The following is a 26644-nucleotide window of genomic DNA, read 5'->3' as shown; positions in this document are numbered from 1 at the left end:
ATGTGTCTCATTCTGTTTCTCCAAGTCCCATATTTTCTATGTGCATCTGTCTGGCTGTGCGTCTAATGCTTTCCCTCTTTCCACTGCATGGCACCCCATCCTAGGCACATTCATCCAGCCAGTGGACGCTACCTAGTATTCTAGTGTCCTGACGAGCCAGGGACTTAGGGGACACAGCAGTGAGCAAGACAGAAAAGGGCCCTCCTTTCATGGAGTTTACATGTTACTAGGCAGGGACAGACCAGTGAACGCATAGTCGCTTTGCTGGTGGTGAGTGACGTGAAGGAGATGAGCTGGGTGATGGAGGGAGGCCGGCTCCCGCTCCAGGGTCGCTCTCTGGGGAGGCAACGGCTGGCCTGACCCGTAAACAGGTTCTTAGAAGGCAAGTGTTGGCAATGTCGGGAGAGACGTGTTTGGGACACTTCATGGGTCCACAGTCAGAGGGTGTCCCCTGTGGATCCAAAGCATAGTAGGTACAATTGAGGGGCGAGCTGGGATCTGCCGGACGCAGATGCTCCATATGCTACCACATCCGTCTCGGCCCCTTCTGGAGAAGAACGGCCACCGCCTCACTTCGGTGTGACCCAGCCACAGAGGAGAAGGTTCTGGGAAATGGGTCTCCAGCTTAGAATAAGAGAACAACCTGGCCGGGCGCGGTGGCTCACGCCTGTAATCCCAGCACTTTGGGAGGCCGAGGCGGGCGGATCACGAGGTCAGGAGATCGAGACCATCCTGGCTAACACGGTGAAACCCTGTCTGTACTGAAAATACAAAAAATTAGCCGGGCGTGGCGGCGGGCGCCTGTAGTCCCAGCTACTCGGAGGCTGAGGCAGGAGAATGGCGTGAACCCGGGAGGCGGAGCTTGCAGTGAGCCGAGATCGCGCCACTGCACTCCAGCCTGGGTGACAGAGCGAGACTCGGTCTCAAAAAAAAAAAAGAGAGAACAACCTGGCAGGTTCCTCCTCTTGACAACTCAGCACAGACGCACACTTCTTTTAAAAAACACATTTAACTTCCAAATAAAGCAAAAAACAAAGTCATGCTTCTACGTAACATGATGCAAATATTCCAACCAGAAGGGACTGAACAAAAGGTTCGTGTCATGTTATCCACATTTGAGAAGACGATCCTCGTTCTTCTAGTTTCTCTAAGAGCGTTTAACACTTGACACTGCAAAGTGCATGTTGGGGGTTGGATGACACAAATACTGAGATGAAATGTAAAGTTAACTGTTGTTAACGCATTTTATGCAGCTAGGAGGGCAATGGAAGAGGAAAAAAGCAGGAAGAACGGATAATGTCAGTACAAGTGTGACTTGTGTGAGGATAAGAAGTACTCACTTCTACGGTCACCAGGTCGTGGCTGGTACAGTCTTTATGGCCACGCTCTTCCGTCACTCCTGCGTGGTCCCTTTGCCCTCTGCAAGCACCTCTGCTGGTCGTGGTTCACTGTCTGGTGGGGTGACCCAAACGTTCCTTCCCAAAAGGCCTATGCTGTTAGCAGTTTTGCCTTATGGGGTGGTTCTGGTTTTCCAGTGGTGTTTTCTGCAAGGCTTAGAGGAGCTACGTGATATTACAGACGATCTCCTGCCTCCCAAATTTCTCCCCCTTAGCCCCATTCTGTGATCAGGTTCCAAGTTCCCCTTGTTGGGCTCAGTCAGCCGGACCAGCACAGGGACCCTCTTCTTTGTCGACCCCCTGGTGTGAGGAACCGGCGTCCAGGTGGGCAGTCTCAGCTTCCTGCGTAACGTGTCCCCTGGTGGAAACACTCCAGGGCTTTCCCAGGACCGAGGGGATTCCTAGGACATGGAACTTTCCGTTTTAAACCTGGGAAAGTCGGCTGGGCGCGGTGGCTCACGCCTGTAATCTCAGCACTTTGGGACGCTGAGGCAGGTGGATTACCTGAGGTTGGAAGTTCGAGACCAGCCTAACCAACATGGAGAAACCCCGTCTCTACTAAAAATAAAAAATTAGCTGGGCATGGTGGTGCATGCCTGCAATCCCAGCTACTAGGAAGGCTGAGGCAGGAGAATTGCTTGAACCCAGGAGGCGGAGGTTGTGGTGAGCCGAGATCGTGCCATTGCACTCCAGCCTGGGCAACAAGAGCAAAACTGAGCCTCAAAAAAATAAAAAATAAAAAAATGAAAATAAGACCGGCAAAGTCTTAAGCAAACTGGGATGAGTTGGTCCCTGGGAATCTGAGGCCTCTAGACCAACAGCGTGCAACACTGCAGGGGGCAAAACTTTCACTTGTGGCTCACTGGGGATTAACGACAATGGGAAGAAGTTGGGGTTTCCACTCCTCCACGCCTGGACCAGTGAGCCCCGGCTTTGGGAAAAGCCAGAGATTAAGTGCTGATTCAGTGGATCCGCTGCATCCAGAGGACCCCAGATCCACAGCATTGTCACTCAGCTGGTGCCAAAACTGAGCCTCCCAAAGGCCATTCCATCAGGAACACGGCGAGATCTGTGGGTTCCAGGAGCACCGGCCGGTTGCTGTCCCCAGGACAATGGCGATGCCGCCATGAGGAGCACCCCGTGGGTGGACGAGGAGCTCTGAATGTGTGGGGTGGTGGTTTGGGCAGAGGCATTGAGGGCACTGACCATCCACAGCTGGGGTGGGAGCCCATCCTGCTGGGACAAGCATCCTCCATGGTGGAGGAAGGGGCCAGTGTTGGTCTCCGCTGTTGGCTGCGCGGTGCCCAGGGTAATCCGCTTCCCACTGCTACAGCCACTTGGCCCGACTCAGGACAAGGGGAGCTGGGGAAAGAGGCTGCCTGATGCGCACAAATGGGTCATTTTGTCCGTCTGACTATTAGGGTCCCTCCTCTGCTGAGACAGGTCTTTGCACACAAATTCTTTATGCTCTGCCCACCCCAAGAGGTCTGTCTACATACCTTCACCCCGACCGTTTCATCTCTAACTTTGTAATCGTGCCCCTCCAAGTGCCTGGCCATCAGCTAGACGGTCGGCCGTGGCCGGGGCGTCCACGGAACTCTGCCTCCTCCTCCATCCTGCTTGCTGCTCGGCCCTGCGAGGACCTGCCTTTGCACCTGTCGTGCAGGCCTGGCCTCCCACACCCAGGTGAGGACCTGCCTTTGCACCTGTCGTGCAGGCCTGGCCTCCCACACCCAGGTGGCGCTGCCGTGCTGGGGCGCCCACTTCGGGGTGGTGCCAGCTTATTAGGCAGAGCCATCTGTGACCAGGGCTGCATTGTGCTTTCTGAGTCATCTGGTCCGAGGGAACGCCTCACGACCCAGTGGTGTATTTCAGAGAGATGAGGCAGAGTGAGGGGAGCTGCCTGTTCATGCCTGTTCAGGACCCACCTCCTCCACTGGCTTCCCAGGGCCCCCAGGACCTGTTTGAGCTGACCACGTGTAGACCACTTCCGTCGGTGGCATCTGCTGTGCACACCCAGCCCTGAGGCTGGTGGGTCCGACCACACCCAGTGCACGATGGCAGCCCAGGCGTTAGAATGTGCCTTTGGGGTTGGGCACGGCGGCTTATGCCTGTAATCTCAACACTTTGGGAGGTGGAGGTGGGAGAGGACGCTTGAGCACAGGAGTTCGAGACCAGCCTTGGCAACACAGGGAGACCCTATCTCTACAAAAAACACAAACATTTGCCAGGTGTGGTGCAAACCTGTAGTCTCAGCTACTCGAGAGGCTGGGGTGGAAGGATTGCTGAGGCCTGGGAGGTCGAGGCTGCAGACCTGTGATTATGCCACCGCACTCCAGACTAGGCAACCAAGCAAGATCCTGTGCAAAAAAAAAAAAAAAAAAAAAAAGAATGTGGCCCTTGGCCCTGCTCAGTATCTGGAGCCTGGTGGGGCCGGGACAGCTCTCCCCAGACGGTGGGGGCCGGGACACCTCTCTCCAGACGGTGGGGCCGGGACAGCTCTCTCCAGACGGTGGGGCCGGGACACCTCTCTCCAGACGGTGGGGCCGGGACACCTCTCTCCAGACGGTGGGGCCGGGACAGCTCTCTCCAGACGGTGGGGCCGGGACACCTCTCTCCAGACGGTGGGGGCCGGGACAGCTCTCTCTCCAGATGGTGGGGGCCGGGACACCTCTCTCTCCGGATGGTGGGGGCCGGGACAGCTCTCTCTCCAGACGGTGGGGCCGGGACAGCTTTCCCCAGACGGTGGGGCCGGGACACCTCTCTCCAGACGGTGGGGCCGGGACAGCTCTCTCTCCAGACGGTGGGGGCCGGGACAGCTCTCTCCAGACGGTGGGAGCCGGGACACCTCTCCCCAGACGGTGGGGCTGGGACAGCTCTCTCCAGACGGTGGGGCCGGGACACCTCTCTGCAGACGGTGGGGCCGGAACAGCTCTCCCCAGACGGTGGGGCCGGGACACCTCTCTCTCCAGACGGTGGGGCCGGGACACCTCTCCCCAGACGGTGGGGCTGGGACACCTCTCTCCAGACGGTGGGGTCGGGACACCTCTCTCCAGACGGTGGGGCTGGGACAGCTCTCTCTCCAGACGGTGGGGGCCGGGACAGCTCTCTCTCCAGACGGTGGGGGCCGGGACAGCTCTCCCCAGACGGTGGGGGCCGGGACCCCTCTCTCCAGACGGTGGGGCCGGGACAGCTCTCTCTCCAGACGGTAGGGCCGGGACAGCTCTCTCCGGATGGTGGGGCCGGGACACCTCTCTCCAGACGGTGGGGGCCGGGAGAGCTCTCTCTCCGGACGGTGGGGGCCGGGACACCTCTCTCCGGATGGCGTGGGCTGCAACAGCTATGTCCAGATGGTGGACCCTGGGACACCTGTCTCCAGATGGTGGCAATGCTTTGCTGAAAGTCAGTGCAGAGGCCAACCAGAGGTCCAGCCAGAAGCTCGACACAGTTCAAGCAGCACTGGATGTGCTTGGCCATGTGGCCCAAGTGGCCGAGCAGCCCATGTGGCACGTGGCCCCTAGCAGGCCTCCTCTGGTCTTGGGTTAAGGGGTTGGAGCAGCACTTCCAAATAGGGCAAAAGTTGCTTCCCAAATAACATGGGACCTACAGCACTAGGCATCGTGCCTCTTTCTTCGTGGAGGAAGGGACTGAGGTAGCCACTTGCCTTGTGCTTGGGAAGGGATGGACCACTGGGTCCCTAGACGTGCCGGAGGTGTGGGCCCCAGGTGTTCGGCTCGCAGATGCTCTAGGGAGGTGTTGAGGGCAGCGGCTACTTTCTGCTCAGCAAGTCCAGACCACACGATGCCCCCCACAGAGCGGGTAGTGTGACGTCCCTGTAAGCGAGGCCGATGACTCTGAGCTGGGAGCTGATGTTCCTGGAGGGAGGGAAGTGAAGGTGAATTGTTGGCCTTGCCTGTTGAAGGCAAAGCATCCCGATGGTCTTCACCCACAGGTGTGGAGACAAAGGCCTTCCCTGATGAATAAGCTGCCCATTGTGGGCGGCAAGCCACCCAGGTGCCGAGGCAAGAGACTGAGGACACGAGCTGTTCCAGTATAATAAAATATAAAATAAAAATAGTTACACCAGATATAGATCTTAGATATGATTATATATGAATATCATTAATCATTAGTTTGTAGCAATTACTCTTTATTCCAATATTATAACAATCCTCGCTCTATAATCATAAACTAGGAAAAACCAGGCCATACAGAGATAGGAGCTGAGGGGACATAGTGAGGAGTGACCAGAAGACAAGAGTGCGAGCCTTCTGTTATGCCCGGACAAGGCCACTAGAGGGCTCCTTGGTCTAGCGGTGATGCCAGCGTCTGGGAAGACGCCCGTTGCCAAGCGGACCGTGGTCTAGCGGTAGCGTAAGTGTCAAGGAAAAACACCCGCTACTTAGCAGACCGGGAAAGGAGGGGCTCCCTTTCCCCGGGGGAGTTTAGAGAAGACTCTGCTCCTCCACCTCTTGTGGAGGGCCTGACTTCAGTCAGACCTGCCCGCAGTTATCCGGAGGCCTAACCGTCTCCCTGTGATGCTGTGCTTCAGCAGTCATGCTCCTAGTCCTCCTTCATGTTCCATCCTGTGCACCTGGCTCTGCCTTCTAGATAGCAGTAGCAAATTAGTGAAAGTACTAAACGTCTCTAATATACAAAAATAATGGCGTAAGCTATCTTTCTCTCTGTCTCCTCTCCCTCTCTGCCTCGGCTGCCAGGCAGGGAAGGGCCCCCTGTCCAGTGGACACGTGACCCACGTGACCTTATCTATCATTGGAGATGACTCACACTCTTTACCCTGCCCCTTCTGCCTTGTATCCAATAAATAACAACGCAGCCAGACATTCGGGGCCACTACCGGTCTCCGCGCATTGGTGGTAGTGGTCCTCCGGGCCCAGCTGTCTTTTTTTTAATCTCTTTGTCTTGTGTCTTTATTTCTACACTCTCTCGTCTCTGCACATGGGGAGAAAAACCCACCGACCCTGTGGGGCTGGACCCTACACCCATGAGGCCGCAAGGAGCGTGTGGATTTGCTGCTCAGTGAAAGCCTGTCAGGAGCAGACGTTACGCTAACCACCGTCTGATTATTTTTTACAGCAATTCCCTGTCCTTCTTCCAGATCCTCCTGCCTTCCACACAGGCCAAAGAAGGCAGGCAAACGGGGCTGTGGTGGAGTCTCCAGCCCCTGCATCGTCAGGTCCACGATGTGGCACTGATCTCTGCTGTCCCTCCAGGGAGGCGGGTCAGGTCCGCGATGGTGGCACCGATCTCTGCTGTCCCTCCAGGGAGGCAGGTCAGGTCCTGGATGGTGGCACCGATCTCTGCTGTACCTCCAGGGAGGCGGGACTTATTTCGATTGACTGTTTTCCTGGGTAGAGGCAGCTCTATGGCCTCCATCTGGCCTTTTCCAACATGAGACCCCTCACCCCATGGGTCAGGGACCAATGTAGGATTCTGAGGATGTCTGTGCCACTGATGCATTCCAAAACCAGAGAGCAGGTCACTGGCCTCGCCGAGAGACAGATCTGAGCTAGAACTCACGGATCACCTGACGGCCACAAGCCCCTGCTTTGCCAGGCAGATACCACCGTGGAATTAACGTCCGTGCACAGCCAGGTCCCTGAAAAGTCTGTATCTCTCGTTCCCTTCATAGCCATCTGGTGCGTGGTTCTTAGGGGCCCATGGGAAGTCCAGGAAGGAGATTTACAGTAAAATCCTCGGCAATGTCATTGGGTCCTTCCTCAGGGCCTGGCTCCGTGGACTGGCTCAGAATGGAAACTGGCAGAGGGGCCACAGCTCTGTTGTGAGGAACCCAGGCTTCTTGCTGTGGACTGAACAAATCTGTATGTTGAAGCCCTAAGCCTGTGTGACGGCATTTGGAGGGGGCCCTTGGGAGGTGATTAGGGTCAGATGAAGTCCTGAGGCTGGGCCCCCAGGATGGGGTTGATGCCCTGATAACAGGGGAGTCCAGAGCTCATGCACTGTCTCCCCACAAATTCTCTCTCTCTCCCCATGTCTCTCTCTCCCTCTGTCCTCCATCTATCTCCCTGTCTCTGTCTCTCCTCATCTCCCTCTCCCTCTCTGTCTCTCCCCATCTCTCTCTGTCTCTCTCTCCCTCATGTCTCTCTCCCTGTCTGTCTCTCCCCTATCTCTCTCCCTCTATCTCTCTCTCCCTATCTCTCCCCCATCTCTCTCTCCTGTCTCTGTCTCTCCCCCATCTCTTTCTCTCCTCTCTGTCTCTCCCCCATCTCTCTCTCCCTCTGTCTCTCTCTCTCCGTTTCTCTCTCTCTCCCTCTCTGTCTCTATCTCTCCCCCATCTCTCTCCCTCTGTCTCTCTCCCTCTCTGTCTCTATCTCTCCCCCATCTCTCTCTCCCTCTCTCTGTCTCTCCCCCATCTCTCTCTCCCTCTGTCTCTCTCTCTCCGTTTCTCTCTCTTTCCCTCTCTGTCTCTATCTCTCCCCCATCTCTCTCCCTCTGTCTCTCTCCCTCTCTGTCTCTATCTCTCCCCCATCTCTCTCCCTCTATCTCTCTCCCTCTCTGTCTCTATCTCTCCCCCATCTCTCTCTCCCTCTCTCTGTCTCTCCCCCATCTCTCTCTCCGTTTCTCTCGCTCTCCCTCTCTGTCTCTATCTCTCCCCCATCTCTCTGTCCTGTCTCTGTCTCTCCCCCATCTCTCTCTCCCTCTGTCTCTTTCTCTCTCTCTTTCTGTCTGTCTCTCCCCTGACATGCACGTGCTGAGGAAAGGCCCTGGGAGGACACAGTGAGTTGGAGCTTCTGAACCTGACCACGCTGGCACCCTGATCTCAGGCTTCCAGCAGCCAGAAAGGTGAGAAAATACATTTCTGTTCTGTGGTGTTTTGTAATGGCAGACTGAGCTGACTGACTCACTTCTATCCACCACACCTAGAGTTTTTCTGATGACACAGATCAAGTGAGGCTTCAGCAGGCAGCCCCCATGCCTAGGGGTGCCTTGATGGCTCAGCCAGCTCCAAGGGCTTCTGCAGGTGGAGCCATGCTGATCCCGCCTGGGCCACACCTCCTGTCTGTAGACATGAGGTGCCACCCCAGTCCTGCCATGCTGGGGCCGGCAGAGACCCCATTTCCAGGGCCCACTGCAACACCTAATTGTGCCTTTCACAATTAGGGAGGAGGGGGCATGACAACACAGTCAGTTTCGCTTTTTTTTTTTTTTTTTTTGAGAGGGAGTCTCGCTCTGTCGCCCAGGCCGGAGTGCGGTAGAGTGATCTCGGCTCACTGCAAGCTCCGCCTCCTGGGTTCAAGCGATTCTCCTGCCTCAGCCTCCTGAGCAGCTGGGAGTACAGGTGCCCGCCACCACACCCGGCTAATTTTTGTGTTTTTGGTAGAGATGGGATTTCACCAGGTTGGCCAGGATGGTCTCAAACTCTTGACTTCAGATGATCCACCTGCCTTGGCCTCCCAAAGTGCTGGGATTACAGGCATGAGCCACTGTGCCCGGCCCCAGTTTAGCATTTTTAAAAAACGAATGGACTTTATTTTTCGGAAGGGTTTGAGATTTACAGAAATAACACAGAGAGCTTCCCCGCCCCCCAGCTCCACCAACAGTTCCCCTCGTTTTTACCGTCTGGCTTAGTTCGGTGTATTTGTTATAATGAATGAACCAGTATTAATGCGTTATTGACCAAATAAAGTCACAGTTGGTCCAGAGTCCCTCATTTGTTTTCCCTGACATCCTTTCTGTGTTCCAGGACCGCGTTCCTCAGCGTCTGTCTCCCGGGGCCTCTGGGCTGGGCCGTTTTGCTTTTGACGACCTGGACAGCTCAGAAGAGGCCGGGTGTGTTGGCGGGGTGCCCCTGCTGAGATTCGCCTGCTCTTTTTGTCATGAGGAGGCTGGGGTTATAGGTTTCTTGGAAGAAGATTCCAGAGGTAAAGCAGCATCTGCATCCATCCTAACATCGCCGGTGCGACTCATAACTCGACGCCTGCCTCGTCTTCTGCAGAGACAGAGCCCGTCAGGCTCCTCTGTGCAAACCACGATGGATCAGCTCCATCGGTTTCTGCAGGTGGAGCCGCGCGGAAGGAGCCCAGCCCTTCCCACCCCGCGCTCTCTGGAAGGACGGCCCTGCGCCAGCCCACGTCGAGGGGCTGGGAGGGGCTCTGCTCCTCCTTAGGGGCAGTGTCTACGCCATTGGTTTAGAATTCTTCTGCACGGGAGATTTGTCTCTTCTCCCCCATTTATAAATTTATATCGCCATGCACTTGTAGGTATTTACAGCACACTTTGGGTTAGGATGTAGAATGAGGTGTTGCTCAAATTGTGGGAGTTCACTCAGTTGGACCCTGGGTCCACGGGCATATTTACATTGTGTGTGTATGCGTGTGCATGTGTATGTGTATACGTGTGTATGTGTACGTGTGTGTGCATGTGTATGTGTTTAGTGTGTGTATGTGTATGTGGTGTATATGTGGGTATATGTGTGTATGCATGGTGTGTGTGTATGTGCGTGGTGCCTGTGTGTACGTTGTATGTGTGGTGTGTATGTGCATTTGTGAGCATGGTGCATATCTGTGATGTGTATGTGTATGTTGTCTGTATGTGTGTGCATGGTGCATGTGTGTGTGGTATATGTGTATATGTGTGGTGTATATGTGTGGTGTGCGTGTGTGTATGTGTTTGTGGTGTGTGTATGTTGTGTGTGGTGTGGGTGTATGTATGGTGTGTGTGTGTAAAAGTGTGTATGTATGCGTGTTTGTGGTGTGTGCATTGTGTGTGTTTATGGTGTGTATGTGTGTGTTGTGTGCATGTTGTGTGTTTGTGGTATGTGTGTGTTGTGTGTATGTGTATGGTGTGTGTGTGTATGTATGTTTGTGGTGTGTATGTACATGGTGCCTTTGTGTGTGGTGTGTGTATATGTATGTGCATGGTGCACATATGTGTGTTTGTGGTGTGTGTACATGCATGGTGCCTCTGTGTGTGGTGTGTGTAGTCTGTGTGTATATGTGTGTGCATGGTGCATGTGTGTGTGTATGTATGTGTGCTGTGTATGTGTGTGATGTATGTATGTGTGTGGTGTGTTTGTGGTGTGTGTATGTGTGTGGTATGTATAGTGTGTGTGTAAAAGTGTATCTATGTATGCATGTTTGTGGTGTGTATGTATGTGTTGTGTGTGTATGTGCATGGTGCTTGTGTGTGAGTGTATGTGTGTATGTATGTGGTGTGTATGTGCATGGTGCCTGTGTGTGAGTGTATATGTGTATGTATGTTTGTGGTGTGTGTGTACATTCATGGTGCCCGTGTGTGTGGTATGTGTGTATATGTGTGTGCATGGTATGTGTGTGTATGTGTGTATGTATGTGTGCTGTGTATGTGTGTGATGTGTGTGGTGTGTTTGTGGTGTGTGTGTTGTGATGTGTATGTGTGTATGTGCATGGTGCATGTGTGTATGTGTGTGTGCTGTGTGTATGTGTGTGGTGTGTATGTATGTGCACTGTGCCTGTGTATGTGTGTGTGACATATGTATGTATGTGGTGGCTGTATATGTGTGTGCATGGTGCGTGTGTGTGTGGTGTGTATGTGCATGGTGCATGTGTATATGTGTGGGGTGTGTCCGTGCATGATGCATGTATGTGCGTGGTGTGTATATGTGTGTGCATGGTGCATGCGTGTGTATGTATGTTTGTGGTGTGTATGTGTGTGCATGGTGCATGTGTTTGTGGTGTGTGTGCATGTTGCATGTGTGTATGTGTGTCACGTGTGTATGTGGTTTGTGTATATTTGTGTGCACGGTGCTTGTGTGGTGTGTGTGTATGTCCATGGTGTGTGTGTGATGTGTGTATGTGTGTGGTGTGTGTATGTATGTGCATGGTATGTGTGTGACATGTATATATGTGGTGTGTGTATATGTGTGTGCATGGTACGTGTGTGTGGGGTGTGTATGTGCATGGTGTGTGTGCCCCGCCCCCCAGGCGCTTTCTCCGTTTCCCCGAAGTGACGACCGCACCTCGGCCGGAAGCGGGGAGGGGCCGCCTCGTGGGAGCGCGGACGGGCAGAGCCCTTTGTGTTCGGGACGGGGCGGGACGCGCTGGGTGCGGGGAGACCCCCTGCGCCCCGGCCCTGCTGTGGAGGAAGGGGCTCTAGACGGGGCGGGGCGCTCCTCCGCGTGCTGCGTGTCTGGGGGCCCGAAACGCAGACCCGCCCCCCCACCGTTGGAACGAGCCCCCCCACCGTTGGAACGCGCCGCCCCCCCCTTCCCCCGCTCCAGGCGGCTCCCTGGAGAGCAGCTGGGAAACGCCCCACCCCCATCCATTCCTGGCCGCGCTTTCAGGGCTGTTTTCCTCGGGCTGGGAAACGCCCCGCCCCGTTCCATTCCCGGCCGTCGGTTCGGGAATGTTTTCCTGGCGCACAGCCCTGGGAGGCCTCCCGGGCGCCGAGGGCAGCGCTGGTCACCGTCCCGCGTGGCAGCCAGTGTCTGGGGGCAGAGTGTCCAGGAAGCTGCGCCCCCGGGCTCGTGTCCTGCCGCCACTCACTGCGTGGCACGGGTCCCCGGGCCCCTCCAGGCCTTCTGCGGGAGCTGGGGCTTGGGAAGCCGCCGCAGAAGCGGTTCCCTTGGCCACCTCCCTGCCTGAGAAGTCAACCGTCCTTGCCTCTGACCCAGGGGCTCTGTCTTCTGTTGGCCTCCGGGGATCTGTGGCCGGTTCACCCCCTAGCTGGCGAAGCTAGGCGTTTGAACCAGAGCAATTCCATCTTGATTGGGAGCTGGGTAAAATGAGGCTGAAATCCACTGGGCAGCATTTCCAGACGGTGGGAGCTCAGACCCTGCCCGTTTGTGCACAGGAAGCACCCACCGGGCTCCTGAAGTCCACGCGAGCTCCCTTCCCTGAGCTCCAGGCCAAGCTTGGAGTTCCCTCCGCCCCTTAGACCTCAGGCCGACTCGGCTTCCAGAATGCCATCCTCCCTGGACTGCAGTTAAATTAACTTCCTGTGTTCTGAGCCATCTGTTCCCTTCCTACCCTGTTTTCCACCCCAAATTGTTCTTAACCCCATTATTCAGGGCATGTGATAGTGTGGGCGGAGGATTACCCAGGTGCGGAGGCAAAAGACTGAAGGCACATGGCGGGCGCCTGTAGTCCCAGCTACTCGGGAAGCTGAGGCAGGAGAATGGGGTGAACCTGGGAGGCGGAGCTTGCAGTGAGCCCGGATGCGCCACTGCACTCCAGCCTGGGCGACAGAGCGAGACTCTGTCTCAAAAAAAAAAAAAAAAAAAAAAAAAAAAAAAAAGACAAGGCACAAACTTTCAGTATAATAAAGAGAATAAGAATAGTTATAATACAAATTAGAGATGATCATGGACATATCAATCATTAGTATAAACATTATTAATCATTAGCTTTTATCGTGGACATTATCAATCAGTATAAACATTATTAGTCATTAGCTTTTAATATTTCTCTTTGTGGCATTACTAATATAACCTAGGAATAACCGGCGGGTATAGGGTCAGGTGCTGAAGGGACGTTGTGAGAAGTGACCTAGAAGGCAAGAGGTGAGCCCTCTGTCACACCAACATAAGGGCCGCTTGAGGGCTCCTTGGTTAAGCGGTAACGCCAGTGCCTGGGAAGGCACCCGTTACTTAGCCGACCGTGAAAGGGAGTCTTCTTTCCTTGGAGGAGTCAGGGAACACTCTGCTCCACCAGCTTCTTGTGGGAGGCTGGATATTCTCCAGGCCTGGCCCGCAGTCATCCGGAGGCCTAACCCCCTCCCTGTGGTGCTTGAATGATCACACTCCTTGTCCACTTTCATGCTCCTCCCTTACTCCTGGTTCCTCTTTGAAGTTCTTAGAAGATAGCGGTAGAAGAAATAAAGTCTTTGATCTTTCTTTCTTTCTTTTTTTTTTTCTTTTTTTTTGAGACAGAGTCTTGCTCTGTCGCCCAGGCTGGAGTGCAGTGGTGCGATCTCGGCTCACTGCAAGCTCCGCCTCCTGGGTTCACACCATTCTCCTGCCTCAGCCTCCCAAATAGCTGGGACTACAGGCGCCTGCCACCATGCGTGGCTAATTTTTTGTATTTTTAGTAGAGACAGGGTTTCACCATGTTGGCCAGGCTGGTCTTGGCCACGTGACCTCAACTGATCTGCCTGCCTCGGCTTCCCAAAGTGCTGGGATTACAGGCGTGAGCCACTGCGCCCGGCCGTCTTTGATCTTTCTTAAAAGTGCATAGAAGAAAACGCTGACGTATGCTGCCTTCCCTCTCTGCTCCCGCTACCTGTAAGGGAAGGGCCCCTGTCCTATGGTCACATGACTTGCTTGACCTTATCAATCACTTGGACAACTCACCGTTCTTACCCTGCCCCCTTGTCTTGTATGCAATCAATATCAGCGTGCCCAGCCATTCGGGGCCACTACCGGTCTCCGCATCTTGGTGGTAGTGGTTCCCCGGGCACAGCTGTTTTCTCTCTATCTCTTTGTCTTGTGTATTTATTTCTTCCGGTCTCTCGTCTCCACACACGGGGAGAACACCCGCCAAGCCCCGTAGGGCTGGACCCTCCATGATAGAAGTCATGCTTTTAATCAAATGCAACCAATTCAGAATGGCAAATTAGGATATATACCCTTTCCCAAATCCAGTATCCCAGGAGAAATTACGGTACGGTAATTAATCCCCCTCCTCCCGCCAAGCTAAACCTCAGAGAAGTTGAAGTTCTAAAGTTCAAGTCCAAAAATACTGGGAAGGGAAAAACAAACAAAAAAACCGAGGAAACAAACATCAGGGAAAAACCCAGAACCTCGTCATGAAAATAGTGTCCTGTCGCTCTGTTTCTGATTTGCAGCTCACAGCTCGTGTTTCACCCCAGCCTCTGGGGCCGGCTCTGTGCCTGGCCTGAGGCCGATTCACTGGCTCAGTCCACAGAGTTGGGCCTGGCTTCCTGCCCTGGAAACCAGTCGAAGGTTCTCCATAGGAACCTGCCGGGCAGACACAGGGATTTGCTGGTTCTCCAGCAGTGAGTCTGAGATGAAACTGGTGTCTATTCGCAGTCTGATACTTTGCTTTAACAAAAAAACAAAAAGCCAGAAAAACAAAAACAAAACTGGGCTTTGATTTGTTTAGAAAGAGATCTTTCTGAGCGTCTTCTGCTCTCATGGCCTGGGTGCCGCCCACCAATAGCAGCTCGGGCTGGGCCTTCGTTTCCCAGCTGGGGGGACCTTTCAGCCCCTCTAGAGGTAAAGTAACACACCCAAAGTCTCTCTTCTTTAAAAAGGGCTCAGAGTCACTGGGTGAATATGAATTTCATATCATTACCTGTTGAGGTTGCCCAGGTTCTTGGTTTCTTGAACAAAGAACTGGACAAAACCCACAAAGGAAGGAAGGAATGAAGAGATTTACTGAAAAGGAAAGTACACGCCACAGCGTGGGAGCGGCCGGAGCATGGGGCTCAAGGGCCCCATTACAGAATTTTGGGGAGTTTAAATACCTTCTAGAGGATTCCGTTGGTTACTTGGTGTACGCCCTCTGTAAATGGAGAGGATGAAGTAAAGTTACAAAGTCATTTACTGGGTGCAGGCCCTATGGAGAGGATATTTCCTGTCATAGCTGAGGTGTGAATCGGTCTTATGTTCCCTGTCTCCAGGCCTTGTTTTCCTGCCTCACTAGCACCAGGCACACAGTCACACAAGGTGGAAAATGGACTCCGTGTGCCTCCAAGGTGAACACCCTGGCTCTCAGGAGCAGAGACCTAGTGGCATCCCAGGGAGAGTGGAGAGACAGGGAGAGAAATGTTCTGGCTGGTCCAGAGGGCGAAACAGCAGAGACTGTTCTGTCAGAGGCATGTGAACCAGAGCAACTCCATCTTGATTAGGAGCTGGGTAAGATGAGGCTGAGACTTGCTGGGCTGCATCCCCGGACGGTTAAGGCATTCTAAGTCACAGGATGACATAGGAGGTCGGCAATAGCTACAGGTCATAAAGACCTTGCTGATAAAACAGTTTGGAGTAAAGAAGCCGGACAAAGCCCTCCAAAACCAAGATGGTGTCGAGAGTGACCTCTGGTCGTCCTCAGCGCTACACTCCCACCAAGGTCCTGACAGTTTACAGATCCATGGCAAGGTCAGGAAGTTTCTCTACATGGTCTAAAAGGGGAGGCATGAATTATCCACCCCTCGTTTAGCATATCATCAAGAAATAACCGTAAAAATGGGCAGCCCGCAGCTCTCGGGGCCGCTCTGTCTATGGAGTAGCCATTCTTGATTCCTTTACTTTCCTAATAAACTAACTTGCTTTCTTTTTTTTTTTTTTGAGACGGAGTCTCGCTGTCGCCCAGGCTGGAGTGCAGTGTCGCGATCTCGGCTCACTGCAGGCTCCGCCCCCCGGGGTTCATGCCATTCTCCTGCCTCAGCCTCCCGCGTAGCTGGGACTACAGGCGCCCGCCACCACGCCCAGCTAATTTTTTTTTTTTTGTATTTTTAGTAGAGACGGGGTTTCACCGTGTTAGCCAGGATGGTCTCGATCTCCTGACCTCGTGATCCGCCCGCCTTGGCCTCCCAAAGTGGTGGGATTACAGGCGTGAGCCACTGCGCCCGGCCAACTTGCTTTCACTTTATGGACTCCCCCTGATTTCTTTCTTGCATGAGATCCAGGAACCCTCTCTCGGGGTCTGGATCGGGACCCCTTTCCGGTAACATCTTTCTGGCGACCACAGAAGAAAAACTGCAGACTCAAAACCTAGCGTTGGGTAGGTGACATATCTCTGGTGACCTCAGGAGGGGCTCCAGTGCGGAAACCCCCGACCTAAAGGCTAACTTTGGGTAAGTAGTGGGGTCCGGTAACATCTTTCTGGCAAACCCTGAAGGGACAATACTGAGGAGGAGCCCCCGACCCAAAGGAAATAGACTCGGCCCTGACTGGACGACGCTGGGTAAGTGGTGGGGTAGCCGGCGAAGGATGGGATTGGGTGAGAGGCCCACTTAGGGGAGTTAGGGTCTGTCCTAAGACAGAGAGGGTGAAAGCCCACTCTTAATACAAGGCAAGGATGCTTGACCCACCTTGGGTTAGAGACCCACCTTAGGAGGGTTGGTTAGGGTCCCTTTTAAGATTTAGGGGCTTAGAGAGCCCCCTCAGTAAAGTCCCTCTCAGAAAAGTCCCTCTCGGCTGAGAACGGGTTCGGCACGAGGGGACGTTAACGGCTATTCTCTTTGGGTTAATCTGCCTTGCACTCTCTGCTGACGGCTGTGGGTGACAGGATTAGGCACGTACAGGATCGTGGAACATGGGGAGCTTTCTCCTCTCGCAAAAGGGGAACCTGAGAGCTGATGGGACTGCCGGAAAAAGTCCCTTCCCAACAGCAGCCGCCTGAAGTCCTCAGGGTTCCTGCAATGGGCGGGTCTTTCTCTGGCCTCCCTGAGCATTTTGCCTTCCCCACCCTGCCTCAGGCGATGCTTTTCTCTCTCTCCTTTCTCTTTTTTATCTTTTCTATCACTTGGGGCAACCGACTTGCCCAGAGAACACGTGTTGAAACTTGTGGTTGGAGGTTGGATTAACGATGACCGGAGCAAGTTTGAGCCTTGCCAGTGTGATGTTAGGTGCTAAGCAGAGTGGCTGATGTCTCTGTTTTCTCACACGTATTTTGCCCTGGCCAGAACGGAAAGAGGTAACTTCCTTTGTGCTGCAGCTTGGCCCCCAGGGCTGTGGTACAGCCAGTCGTAAGGGAGGAGACCACCCCTCACATTGTCTTATGCCCAATTTCTGCCTCCAGAGAAAGAAGTTAAAAGGCAGAAATGAAATCCACAAGCAGACAGCCCAACGCCACACCCTGGGCCTGGTAGTTAAAGATCGACCGCTGGCTGATCTAATCGGTTATATTACCTATAGATTCCAGACATTGTATAGAAAAGCACTGTGAAAACCCCGTCCCGTCCTGTTCTGATTACCGGTGCATGCAGCCCCCAGTCACATACCCCCTGCTTGCTCAATCGATCACGACCCTCTCACGTGGACCCTCTTAGAGTTGTGAGCCCTGAAGAGGGACAGGAATTGCTCACTCGGGGAGCTCGGCTGTTGAAGATTTGACTCTTGCCAAAGCTCCCGGCCGAATAAAGCCCTTCTTTAACTCGGTGTCTGAGGGGTTTTGTCTGCAGCTAGTCCTGCTACAGTTGGGTCACTAGGGCCCCCCAGGAAAAGAAACCCAGAAATCTGTCATGCTGGCACAAGTGCAAGAACTGCTCACCAGTCAGACTTCTGTCTCTGTGTGTGTGTGTGTGTGTGTGTGTTGTGTGTGTGGGTGTGTGTATGGTGTGTGTGTGTGGGGTGTGTGTGGGTGTGTATGTGGTGTGTGTTTGTGGTGTGTGTGTATGGTGTGTGTGTGGTGTGTGTGTGTGGGGTGTGTGTGGGTGTGTATGTGGTGTGTGTTTGTGTGTGGTGTGTGTGTGTGGTGTTTGTGTGTGGTGTGTGTGTGGTGTTTGTGTGTGGGGGGTGTGTGTTGTGTGTGTGGTGTGTGTGTGGGTGTGTGTGGGTGTGTGTGTGTGGGGTGTGTGTGGGTGTGTATGTGGTGTGTGTGTGTGGTGTGTGTGTATGGTGTGTGTGTGGTGTTTGTGTGGTGTTTGTGTGGGGGGTGTGTGTTGTGTGTGTGGGGTGTGTGTGGTATGTGTGGTGTGTGTGTGTGAGGTGTGTGTGTGCGTGTGGTGTGTGTGTGGTGTGTGTGTATGGTGTGTGTGTGGTGTGTGTGTGGTGTTTGTGTGTGGTGTGTGTGTGGTGTGTGTGTGTGGGGGGTGTGTGTTGTGTGTGTGGGGTGTGTGTGGTATGTGTGGTGTGTGTGTGTGAGGTGTGTGTGTGCGTGTGGTGTGTGTGTGGTGTGTGTGTGGTGTGTGTGGGGGTGTGTGTGTTGTGTGTGTGTGTGTGTGTGTGTGTGTGTAAACTGGACGAGGCTTCCCTCTGGTCCGTCATGTCCTTGGGACCTTGGCCTTGTAACCACGTGGCCGTACTTTCTCTTGGTTTCTGCCATCATAATGGCGGCCCGGGTTCAGGGTTCAATTCCCAGCTTAGGGGATGGGTCTTTAACTTCTGTTTGTCTGTGTTTTTGTACATGTTGTGTGTGGAATATAAAAGAGCTTTAATTAATTGGTTTAATAATAAGAGCTTAAATAAAAAATTTTGTCAGAAAAGTTAAAAGTGCAATGCTTTTTAGTTCATGTGACTTAAATAATCTTTGGGAAATAAAGACAGTTTTAAAGATTATTGGTAAAATAGAAATAGCTTCAAAAATTTAAAAATTTGGTCCAAATAATGCATGTCAGATATTAAGTTCACTAAATGCAAACAACACAACTGATGAGACTAGAATTTAATAACACATGTACCATAGTTCTTGAAATATAACTTTTTTCTCTCTAGTTTCCTATTTTTACTAAAGACAAATCATGGTATGACCAATTTGCTTTATTACACTTGGCCTGATTATTTGTATAAAGGGCAGCAAGAATAATTATTTTTTAGATAAGCTTTTTTTTTAAATTGGCTTTGATGGAACTCTGTTCCATAGAAGGAATCTTAGATAAGACTTTTTTAGAGCTGAGCCCTGCCATGGATTTCTGCCCTCAAATATCTGTGAGTTGAGTAAATTCCTCTCCTCTTGGGGTCCCAAGATAACCTGGGGCTCCTAGACCTTTTAGAAAGTGACATTCTTAGCCAGGCACTGTGGCTCACACCTGTAATCCAAGCACTTTGGGAGGCCGAGGTGGGCGGATCACTTGAGGTCAGGAGTTTGAGACCAGCCCGGCCAACGTGGTGAAACCCCGTCTCTACTAAAAATACAAAAATTAGCCAAGCGTGATGGTGCATGCCTATAATCGCAGCTACTTGGGAGGCTGAGGCAAGAGAATCGCTTGAACAAGGGAGGCGGAGGTTGTGGTGAGCCGAGATTGCGCCACTGCACTCCAGCCTGGGCAACAGAGACTCCATCTCCAAAAAAAAAAGAAAGAAAGTGACATTTCTTACTTATTACAGATCAGAAACCTTGTCCGGGGACTGAGCAGGCAAGGTGTGAGGCTAGTTTCCCAAGGGCTTTTATTGACTTTACAAGTCAAATTTCATTCCTTAAAAGAAAGCACACCATTCCAGTCAAAGCCTTGGTAAAATAACCAATTTCTCCAATTGTGTCCTGTTGCAAAAGAAAATAGATTCTTATTGCACTTATGCAAATAACTATATTGCCATAAATTAAGAATATAAATAGTTTCCAAATCAGGCAGATAGAAACAGATACGCTCCGAATTTTGTTTACAGAAGTATACTTTACTCATTTGCTAAAAGCTGTAAATAGCTCAACAGAAAAATTTTCTTGACTCTGAAAAACAAAAGATCAGCAACCTTTTCAACAAAGTTAAAAAGATTACTTCAGACTTCTTTTTTTTTTGAGACAGAATCTCATTCTGTCTAGGCTGGAGTGCAGTGGTGCGATCTTGGCTCACCGCAACCTCCATCTCCCGGGGTTCACGCCATTCTCTTGCCTCAGCCTCCTGAGTAGCTGGGACTACAGGTGAGCACCACCATGCCCGGCTAATTTTTGTATTTTTAGTAGAGACGGGGTTTCACCATGTTGGCCAGGATGGTCTCGAACTCCTGACCTCATGATCTGCCTGCCTCGGCCTCCCAAAGTGCTGGGATTACAGGTGTGAGCCACTGCGCCTGGCTAGCTTCAGACTTCTTTAGTCTATGCAGTTAACTCCTGTTTGATATTCATGAACATTTTAGCTCTCCAAGAGAGTCCTAAAGTTTTTCCCTCTTTTCTAATGTCACAATCTCCAAAGTTATTAGAAACCTGCATTTGAGGGCCGGGCACGGTGGCTCACGTCTGTAATCCCAACACTTTGGGAAGCTGAGGCAGGTGAATCACCTGAGGTCAGGTGTTCGAAAACAGCCTGGCCAACATGGTGACATCCTGTCTCTACTAGTAACACACAAAAATTAGCCAGGTGTGGTGGTGCATGCCTGTAATCCCAGCTACTGGGGAGGCTGAGGCAGGAGAATCAGTTGAACCTGGGAGGCAGAGGTTGCAGTGAGCCAAAATTGTGCCACTGCACTTCAGTTTGGGTGACAGAGCAAGACTCTGTCAAAAAAAAAAAAAAACCCACCAAAACAAAGAAACCTGCATTTGAGTGCACCTGGTAAAGTTTTGTTTTGTTTTGTTTTTGTTTTTTTTGAGATGGAGTCTTGCTCTGTCACCCAGGCTGGAGTGCAGTGGCTCACTGCAAGCTCCGCCTCCCGGGTTCACGCCATTCTCCTGCCTCAGCCTCCCGAGTAGCTGGGACCACGGGCACCTGCCACCATGCCCGGCTAATTTTTTGTATTTTTAGTAGAAATGGGGTTTCACCATGTTAGCCAGGATGGTCTCGATCTCCTGACCTCGTGATCTGCCCACCTTGGCCTCCCAAAGTGCTGGGATTACAGGTGTGAGCCACCGCGCCAAACATCATTTCTGTGTTATTATTATTTTTGAGACAGGGTCTCTTTCAGTCACCCAAGCTGGAGGGCAATGGCATGATCATGGCTAACTGCAGCCTCCACCTGTTGGGCTCAAGTGATCCTCCTGCCTCAGCCTACTGAGTCGCTTGGACTGCAGGCATGCACCACCACATTTGGCTATTTAAAAATTCTTTTGTAGAGATGGGGTCTTGCTATGTTGCCCAGGCTGGTCTTAAACTCCTGCGCTCAAGTGATTCTCTTGCCTCAGCCTCCCAAATTGTTGGGATTACAGGCATGAGCCACTGTGCCCAGCCCATTTCTGCAGTATTACTGCCAAAAAGGCATAACCTCGTTCCAAAATGGAAAAACATCAAACAAACACAAACTGAGTGATATTCTACAAGATAACTGGTGGATAGTCTATAAAAGTGTTCAGATCATGAAATACAAGGAAAAACTGAAGAACTGTCCCAGGCTGCAGGAGGCTGGGAGAAGTAACAATGAAATGCAAAATGGAACAGAACAGAAGAGGACATTAGTGAAAAAACCGTGAAATTTGAATAAGGTCTTTATTGAACAGCACTGTGCCAATGTTAATTTCCCACTTTTGGTAATTATATTACAGTCATGTAAGATGCTGTCAGTGGTGGGAGCTGGGTGAGGGAGGTACAGAAGCTCTCTGTACTGTTCTTGCAACTTTTCAGTAAGTCCTAAATTGTTTCAAAATAAAAAGTTAGAGAAAAAATCAATATTAAGTACCTGGAAAGAAATAATACAAAAGGTGGACTAACAAAGTGGCACATGACTGAGCGCAGGTCCTACAGCCGACCTTCCCGGCACAGATCGCTACCCTGTTGCTGTGTTTCAGCTGTGTGAGATTGGGCAGATTGCCTAACCTCTCTCTGTGTCTCCATTTTGCCTTCTGAAAAATTGGGCCAATAACAGCACCTATGTCAGCAGGTTGTTACGAGTGTTCAATATATATATGTAAAGCACTTAGTACCATGCTTGGTACAGGTTAAGCACTTAGAAAGTGATAGCTTTGGCCGGGCACGGTGGCTCACGCCTGTAATCCTAGCATTTTGGGAGGCGGAGGCAGGCAGATCACCTGAGATCAGGAGTTTGAGACCAGCCTGGCCAATATGGCGAAGCTCTGTCTCTAGTAAAAATACAAAAATTAGCCAGGCATGGTGGCGGGCACCTGTAGTCCCAGCTACTTGAGAGGTTGAGGCAGGAGAATCGTTTGAACCTGGGAGGCGGAGCTTGCAGTGGGCGGAGATCACGCCACTGCACTCCAGCATGGGTGACAGAGTGAGACTCCATCTCAAAAAAAAAAAAAAGAAAGAAAGAAAGTGACAGCCTTTCCCCCACCGAACAGATTGTGATAGAAGGAGTGCTGGCTTTTATAGTATTATGACGGCCAGAATTATAAAAAGGCAATGGACCCAACTGAAGAGTGGACATTGCGTCGCCAGCTCCGTTGAGAATGGTGCTAGGAATTATCGTGGAAGAATAAAGAAAGGGCACATGCAACACGGAGCTGAGAGGAGGGAAAGAGAGAGGGGTGCATACCTGTCACTATTCCATGTTCTAGAAGGGGGAGCCAAAAGCAGTGGGAGAAAGAAATACCCGAATAAATAATACAGCTAACATTCCCAGAATTGAGGAAAGATGAAGGGCTTCAGACCGAAAGGCTGCAAAGAGGTGAGATAAGAAATAACCTACATTTTCATGTACCACAGTGAAACTGAAGAGTATCAAAGAAAAAGTTCCAGAAAGAGAAAGTTCCAGAAAGAAAAAATAGGTCTCCTACAATGAAACAGGAATTAGATTGATACCCGATTTCTCAGAAAATTATGTTGAAATAATTAATTGGGAGGCCATTAGATTGAGGACGCTCCCAGTGCCCTGAGTTCTTAGATAAGGTAACTGAAACCCAACTCAGCATGAATGGCTGGATCCTAACATGACTTCAAACTAGACACAATCATTAGATACCATGAAAACGCAGCTTCAAACTAAGGACTTTGAAGCTACTGCTTTAATTTAACCAATCAATTTTTTGTTTATTTGTTTGTTTGTTTGTTTGAGACAGAGTCTTGCTCTGTCACCCAGGCTGGAGTGCAGTGGCACGATCTTGGCTCACTGCAACCTCTGCCTCCCGGGTTCACGCCATTCTCCTGCCTCAGCCTCCTGAGTAGCTGGGACTACAGGCGCCCACCACCACACCCGGCTATTTTTTTTGTGTGTGTGTTTTTTGTAGAGACGGGGTTTCACTGTGTTAGCCAGGATGGTCTCGATCTCCTGACCTCGTGATCCGCCCGCCTCGACCTCCCAAAGTGCTGGGATTACAGGCATGAGCCCCCGCGCCGGGCCCAATTTTTTTTTATAAATTTTGCTTCCATGTGTACCTTGTAAATGTTTTCCGGGAGCCCTGAATGACTTGCAGTTTGGAGCTGCCCAATTCATGAATTGCTGTTTGCTAAAATAGACCCTAAAATTTTTTAATGTGTCTGTTTATCTTTTTAGCAGTTCAGGTGTCAGAAGGGAGACCTGGAAGAGTCTCCTCCTGGCCATAAAGACACCTGGCAGCAATGAAGAATCTGGTGTGGACGCCTGTGGAGCCTCTGTACTCACTGCTTTCTTGCTGCTGATGTGGAATCCCCACCAGTAGATCCCTCCTGGATGCTGTTGCAGGAAATCGGGAAGCTGGAGAGATGGAACGGGGTGAAGGAGAGTTTATTTAAGGTGTACACCGGCTCAGCAGACATGCGTCCTGAAAGTCTGAGCACCAGACAAAGAAGGCAGTTGCCTTTTTTTTTTTTTTTGAGACGGAGTCTCACTCTGTTGCCCAGGCTGGAGTGCAGTGGTGCGATCTTGGCTCACTGCAAGCCCTGCCTCCCGGGTTCACGCCATTCTCGTGCCTCAGCCTCCCGAGTAGCTGGGACTACAGGCGCCTGCCACCACGCCCAGCTAATTTTTTTGTATTTTTAGTAGAGACAGGGTTTCACTGTGTTAGCCAGGATGTTCTCGATCTCCTGACCTGGTGATCTGCCCGTCTTGGCCTCCCAAAGTGCTGGGATTACAGGCGTCAGCCACCGTGCCTGGCCTAATTTTTCTACTTCATGCAAGTTCCACAACTTTCATCCTAAGATCTCCAACTTTATTTGAGCATTAAAGAAAAAAAAAAATTCCAGGGCCAAGCACAGTGGCTCATGCCTGTAATCCCAGCACTTTGGGAGGCTGAGGTGGGCAGATCACGAGGTCAGGAGTTCAAGACCAGCCTGGCCAAGATGGTGAAACCCTGTCTCTACTAAAACTACAAAAATTAGCCAGGTGTGGTGGCAGGTGCCTGTAATCCCAGCTGCTCGGGAGGCTGAAGCAGGAGAATCGCTTGAACTCGGGGGGCGGAGGTTGCAGTGAGCCGAGATCGTGCCATTGCACTCCAGCCTGGGCGACAGAGTGATACTCAGTCTCAAAAAAAAAAAAAAAAATCCAGACTAGATCTAGCGTCAAACTGGATCTATCAGAAACTGAACTGGGCCTAGTAGGCATCTTCACATAGGTAAGGGTTTGGGAAGACAGAATAATGAGTTTATCTGAATCCACAGAGTCTGAGATTCCTCCACCTGAGAACCAGTACTTGTCTAGAGAAACTGGTGAACTTTACCAAAGACACCTTAGAATTAAGTGGTGGCCGCAGTGGGTAAGTGATGACCTAGACAAAGCTGTTCATCTGTGGTATCCACTGCAAAAGATGGGATCCAAAGCAACTAAGAGAAAATGGAATGCATTTTTTAATTCACATGTTGTTTTTGACACAGAGTCTCACTCTGTCACCCAGGCTGGAGTGCAGTAGTGTGATCTCGGCTCACTGCAACCTCCACCTCCTGGGTTCAAGTGATTCTCCTGCCTCAGCCTCCTGAGTAGCTGGGACTACAGGCATGCACCACCAAGCCCAGCTAATTTTTTGTATTTTTAGTAGAGATGGGTTTTCGCCATGTTGCCGGGCTGGTCTCGAACTCCTGAGCTCAAGTGATCCATCTGCCTCAGCCTCCCAAAGTGCTGGGATTACAGGCGAGAACCTCCATGCCCAGATGATTTTTTGATTGGCATGCACAGGCTGCTAAAAGACTAAATGAATCCCAAGTTGTCTCTCTAAAAGACTCCATAGAAAAAGGCAAATAGAAAACCAAAGCAGTTAATTGACAATGAAAAAGGGCATGTCTACTGACTCAGCACAGATGAGCCCTTCTCTCTTTCTCTCCATCTTGCTCTGCCAGATTGCTCTGAACTACTCACTTTTTTGCTCAGTAACTTTTATACCCCAGAGGCAAAAAGAAAGTTAGCCAAACTTTCATCGTGTTAGGCCTTTAGATCAACCAGGCCTTCCTTCTTTAACCACATTGACATCTTGATTAAAATCTGAGCTCAGAACAATAGTGAAAGGTTTCCCTGTCCCAGAAATTTGCTGATGATGTAGAATTATATCCTGGCCTATTCATGCTAACTCCAGGCATGGAAAATGCTTGCCAGTTCATCAGTAGGCGCCACCCTGAACTCAGTGATGGAGTTAAAAAGCATAAACTGGGCTGAGAAGCCTCTGATCTAGCCAACGTAGGCCCCAAATGTGCTACTCTGGCATAAAGATTATTTTGATCCAATTCTTTTGAGACCCTTTGTAAGAAAAATTTAATTCTATAAAGGAGATAGAAGTGGTGGCTCATGCCTATAATGCCAGCACTTTGGGAGGCTGAGGGAGGAGGGTTGCTTGAGCCCAGGAGTTCAAGACCAGCCTGGGTGACATAGTAAGAGTCGGTGTATTAGTCCCTTCTCTCATTGCTGTAAAGAACTATCTGAGTCTGGGTAATTTATACAGAAAAGAGGTTTAGGCTGGGTGTGGTGGCTCATGCCTTAATCACAGCACTTTGGGAGGCTGAGGCAGGTTGAGGTCAGGAGTTTGAGACCAGCCTGGCCAACATGGTGAAACCCCATCTCTACTAAAAATACAAAAATTAGCCAGGTATGGTGGCGTGCACCTGTAATCCCAGCTACTCAGCTGGCTAAGGCAGGACAATTGCTTCAGTCTGGGAGGTGGACGTTGTAGTGAGCTGAGATCGCGCCACTGCACTCCAGCCTGGGTGACACAGCAAGACTGTGTCTCAAAAAAAAAAAAGGCAAAAGAAAAGAGGACACATGGCTGGGGAGGCCTCAGGAAAGTTACAATCATGGCAGAAGGTGAAGAGGAAGGGGGCACGTCTTGCATGGCTGGAGCAGGAGGAAGAGACAGAAGGGGGAGGTGCCACACACTTTTAAACAACCAGATCTCATGAGAACTCACTATCCTGAGAACAGCAAGGGGTAAGTCTGCCCCCATGATCCAATCACCTCCCACCAGGCTCCTCCTCCAACACTGAGGATTACAATTTGACATGAGATTTGGGTGGGGACACAAATCCAAACCCTCTCACCCCATCTTTACAAAGAAATTTAACCAACAGTTTGAGGTTGCAGTGAGCTATGATCGCACCACTGCACTCCAGCCGGGTTGTAAAATAAGACTCTGTCTCAAAACAAAACAAAACAAAACAAAGTAAACAACAAAAAAAAAGAATGGAGAAAGCATTGATTTAAATCTACATCACAAAACTTACCTTTACTTAGCGTGCATTTCTGACCCCCATCTTGGCTTAATTAGCGCTTTGCTTGCTTTCTCTCTCTTTTTTCTTTTCTTTTCTTTCCTTTCCTTTTCCTTCCTTCCTTTCTTTCTCATTCCTTCCTTCTTCCCTTCCCTTTCCTTCCTTTCTTCCTTCCCTCCTTC

General features: G+C 51.2%; 7 annotated features.

Moving 5' to 3' along the window:
- Window positions 10950-11902: an enhancer, noted in NCBI's record as "H3K27ac-H3K4me1 hESC enhancer chr11:355877-356829 (GRCh37/hg19 assembly coordinates)". NCBI's record gives its function as "activates a minimal SCP1, AML or CMV promoter by ChIP-STARR-seq in naive H9 embryonic stem cells {active_cell/tissue: H9 hESC(naive)}" and the evidence as "EXISTENCE:reporter gene assay evidence [ECO:0000049][PMID:30033119]".
- Window positions 11335-11654: a silencer, noted in NCBI's record as "silent region_2997". NCBI's record gives its function as "represses an Ori minimal core promoter by ATAC-STARR-seq in GM12878 lymphoblastoid cells {active_cell/tissue: GM12878}" and the evidence as "EXISTENCE:reporter gene assay evidence [ECO:0000049][PMID:35858748]".
- Window positions 12884-13460: an enhancer, noted in NCBI's record as "NANOG-H3K4me1 hESC enhancer chr11:354319-354895 (GRCh37/hg19 assembly coordinates)". NCBI's record gives its function as "activates a minimal SCP1, AML or CMV promoter by ChIP-STARR-seq in naive H9 embryonic stem cells {active_cell/tissue: H9 hESC(naive)}" and the evidence as "EXISTENCE:reporter gene assay evidence [ECO:0000049][PMID:30033119]".
- Window positions 13089-13378: an enhancer, noted in NCBI's record as "active region_4273". NCBI's record gives its function as "activates an Ori minimal core promoter by ATAC-STARR-seq in GM12878 lymphoblastoid cells {active_cell/tissue: GM12878}" and the evidence as "EXISTENCE:reporter gene assay evidence [ECO:0000049][PMID:35858748]".
- Window positions 14123-14289: a silencer, noted in NCBI's record as "fragment chr11:353490-353656 (GRCh37/hg19 assembly coordinates)". NCBI's record gives its function as "represses an EF-1alpha promoter that drives an FKBP-Casp9 reporter gene in an ReSE screen in HepG2 liver carcinoma cells {active_cell/tissue: HepG2}" and the evidence as "EXISTENCE:reporter gene assay evidence [ECO:0000049][PMID:32094911]".
- Window positions 14690-14739: an enhancer, noted in NCBI's record as "active region_4272". NCBI's record gives its function as "activates an Ori minimal core promoter by ATAC-STARR-seq in GM12878 lymphoblastoid cells {active_cell/tissue: GM12878}" and the evidence as "EXISTENCE:reporter gene assay evidence [ECO:0000049][PMID:35858748]".
- Window positions 16488-16964: a transcriptional cis regulatory region, noted in NCBI's record as "candidate enhancer chr11.30 targeted for multiplex CRISPR interference". NCBI's record gives its function as "positively regulates IFITM1 gene expression with high confidence in K562 cells {active_cell/tissue: K562}" and the evidence as "EXISTENCE:mutant phenotype evidence [ECO:0000015][PMID:30612741]".

This window comes from Homo sapiens, chromosome 11, assembly GCF_000001405.40.
Source record: "Homo sapiens chromosome 11, GRCh38.p14 Primary Assembly".
Lineage (NCBI taxonomy): Eukaryota > Metazoa > Chordata > Mammalia > Primates > Hominidae > Homo > Homo sapiens.
The sequence above is the reverse complement of the archived record's forward strand: the minus strand, read 5'-3'. Positions and strand labels throughout refer to the sequence as shown.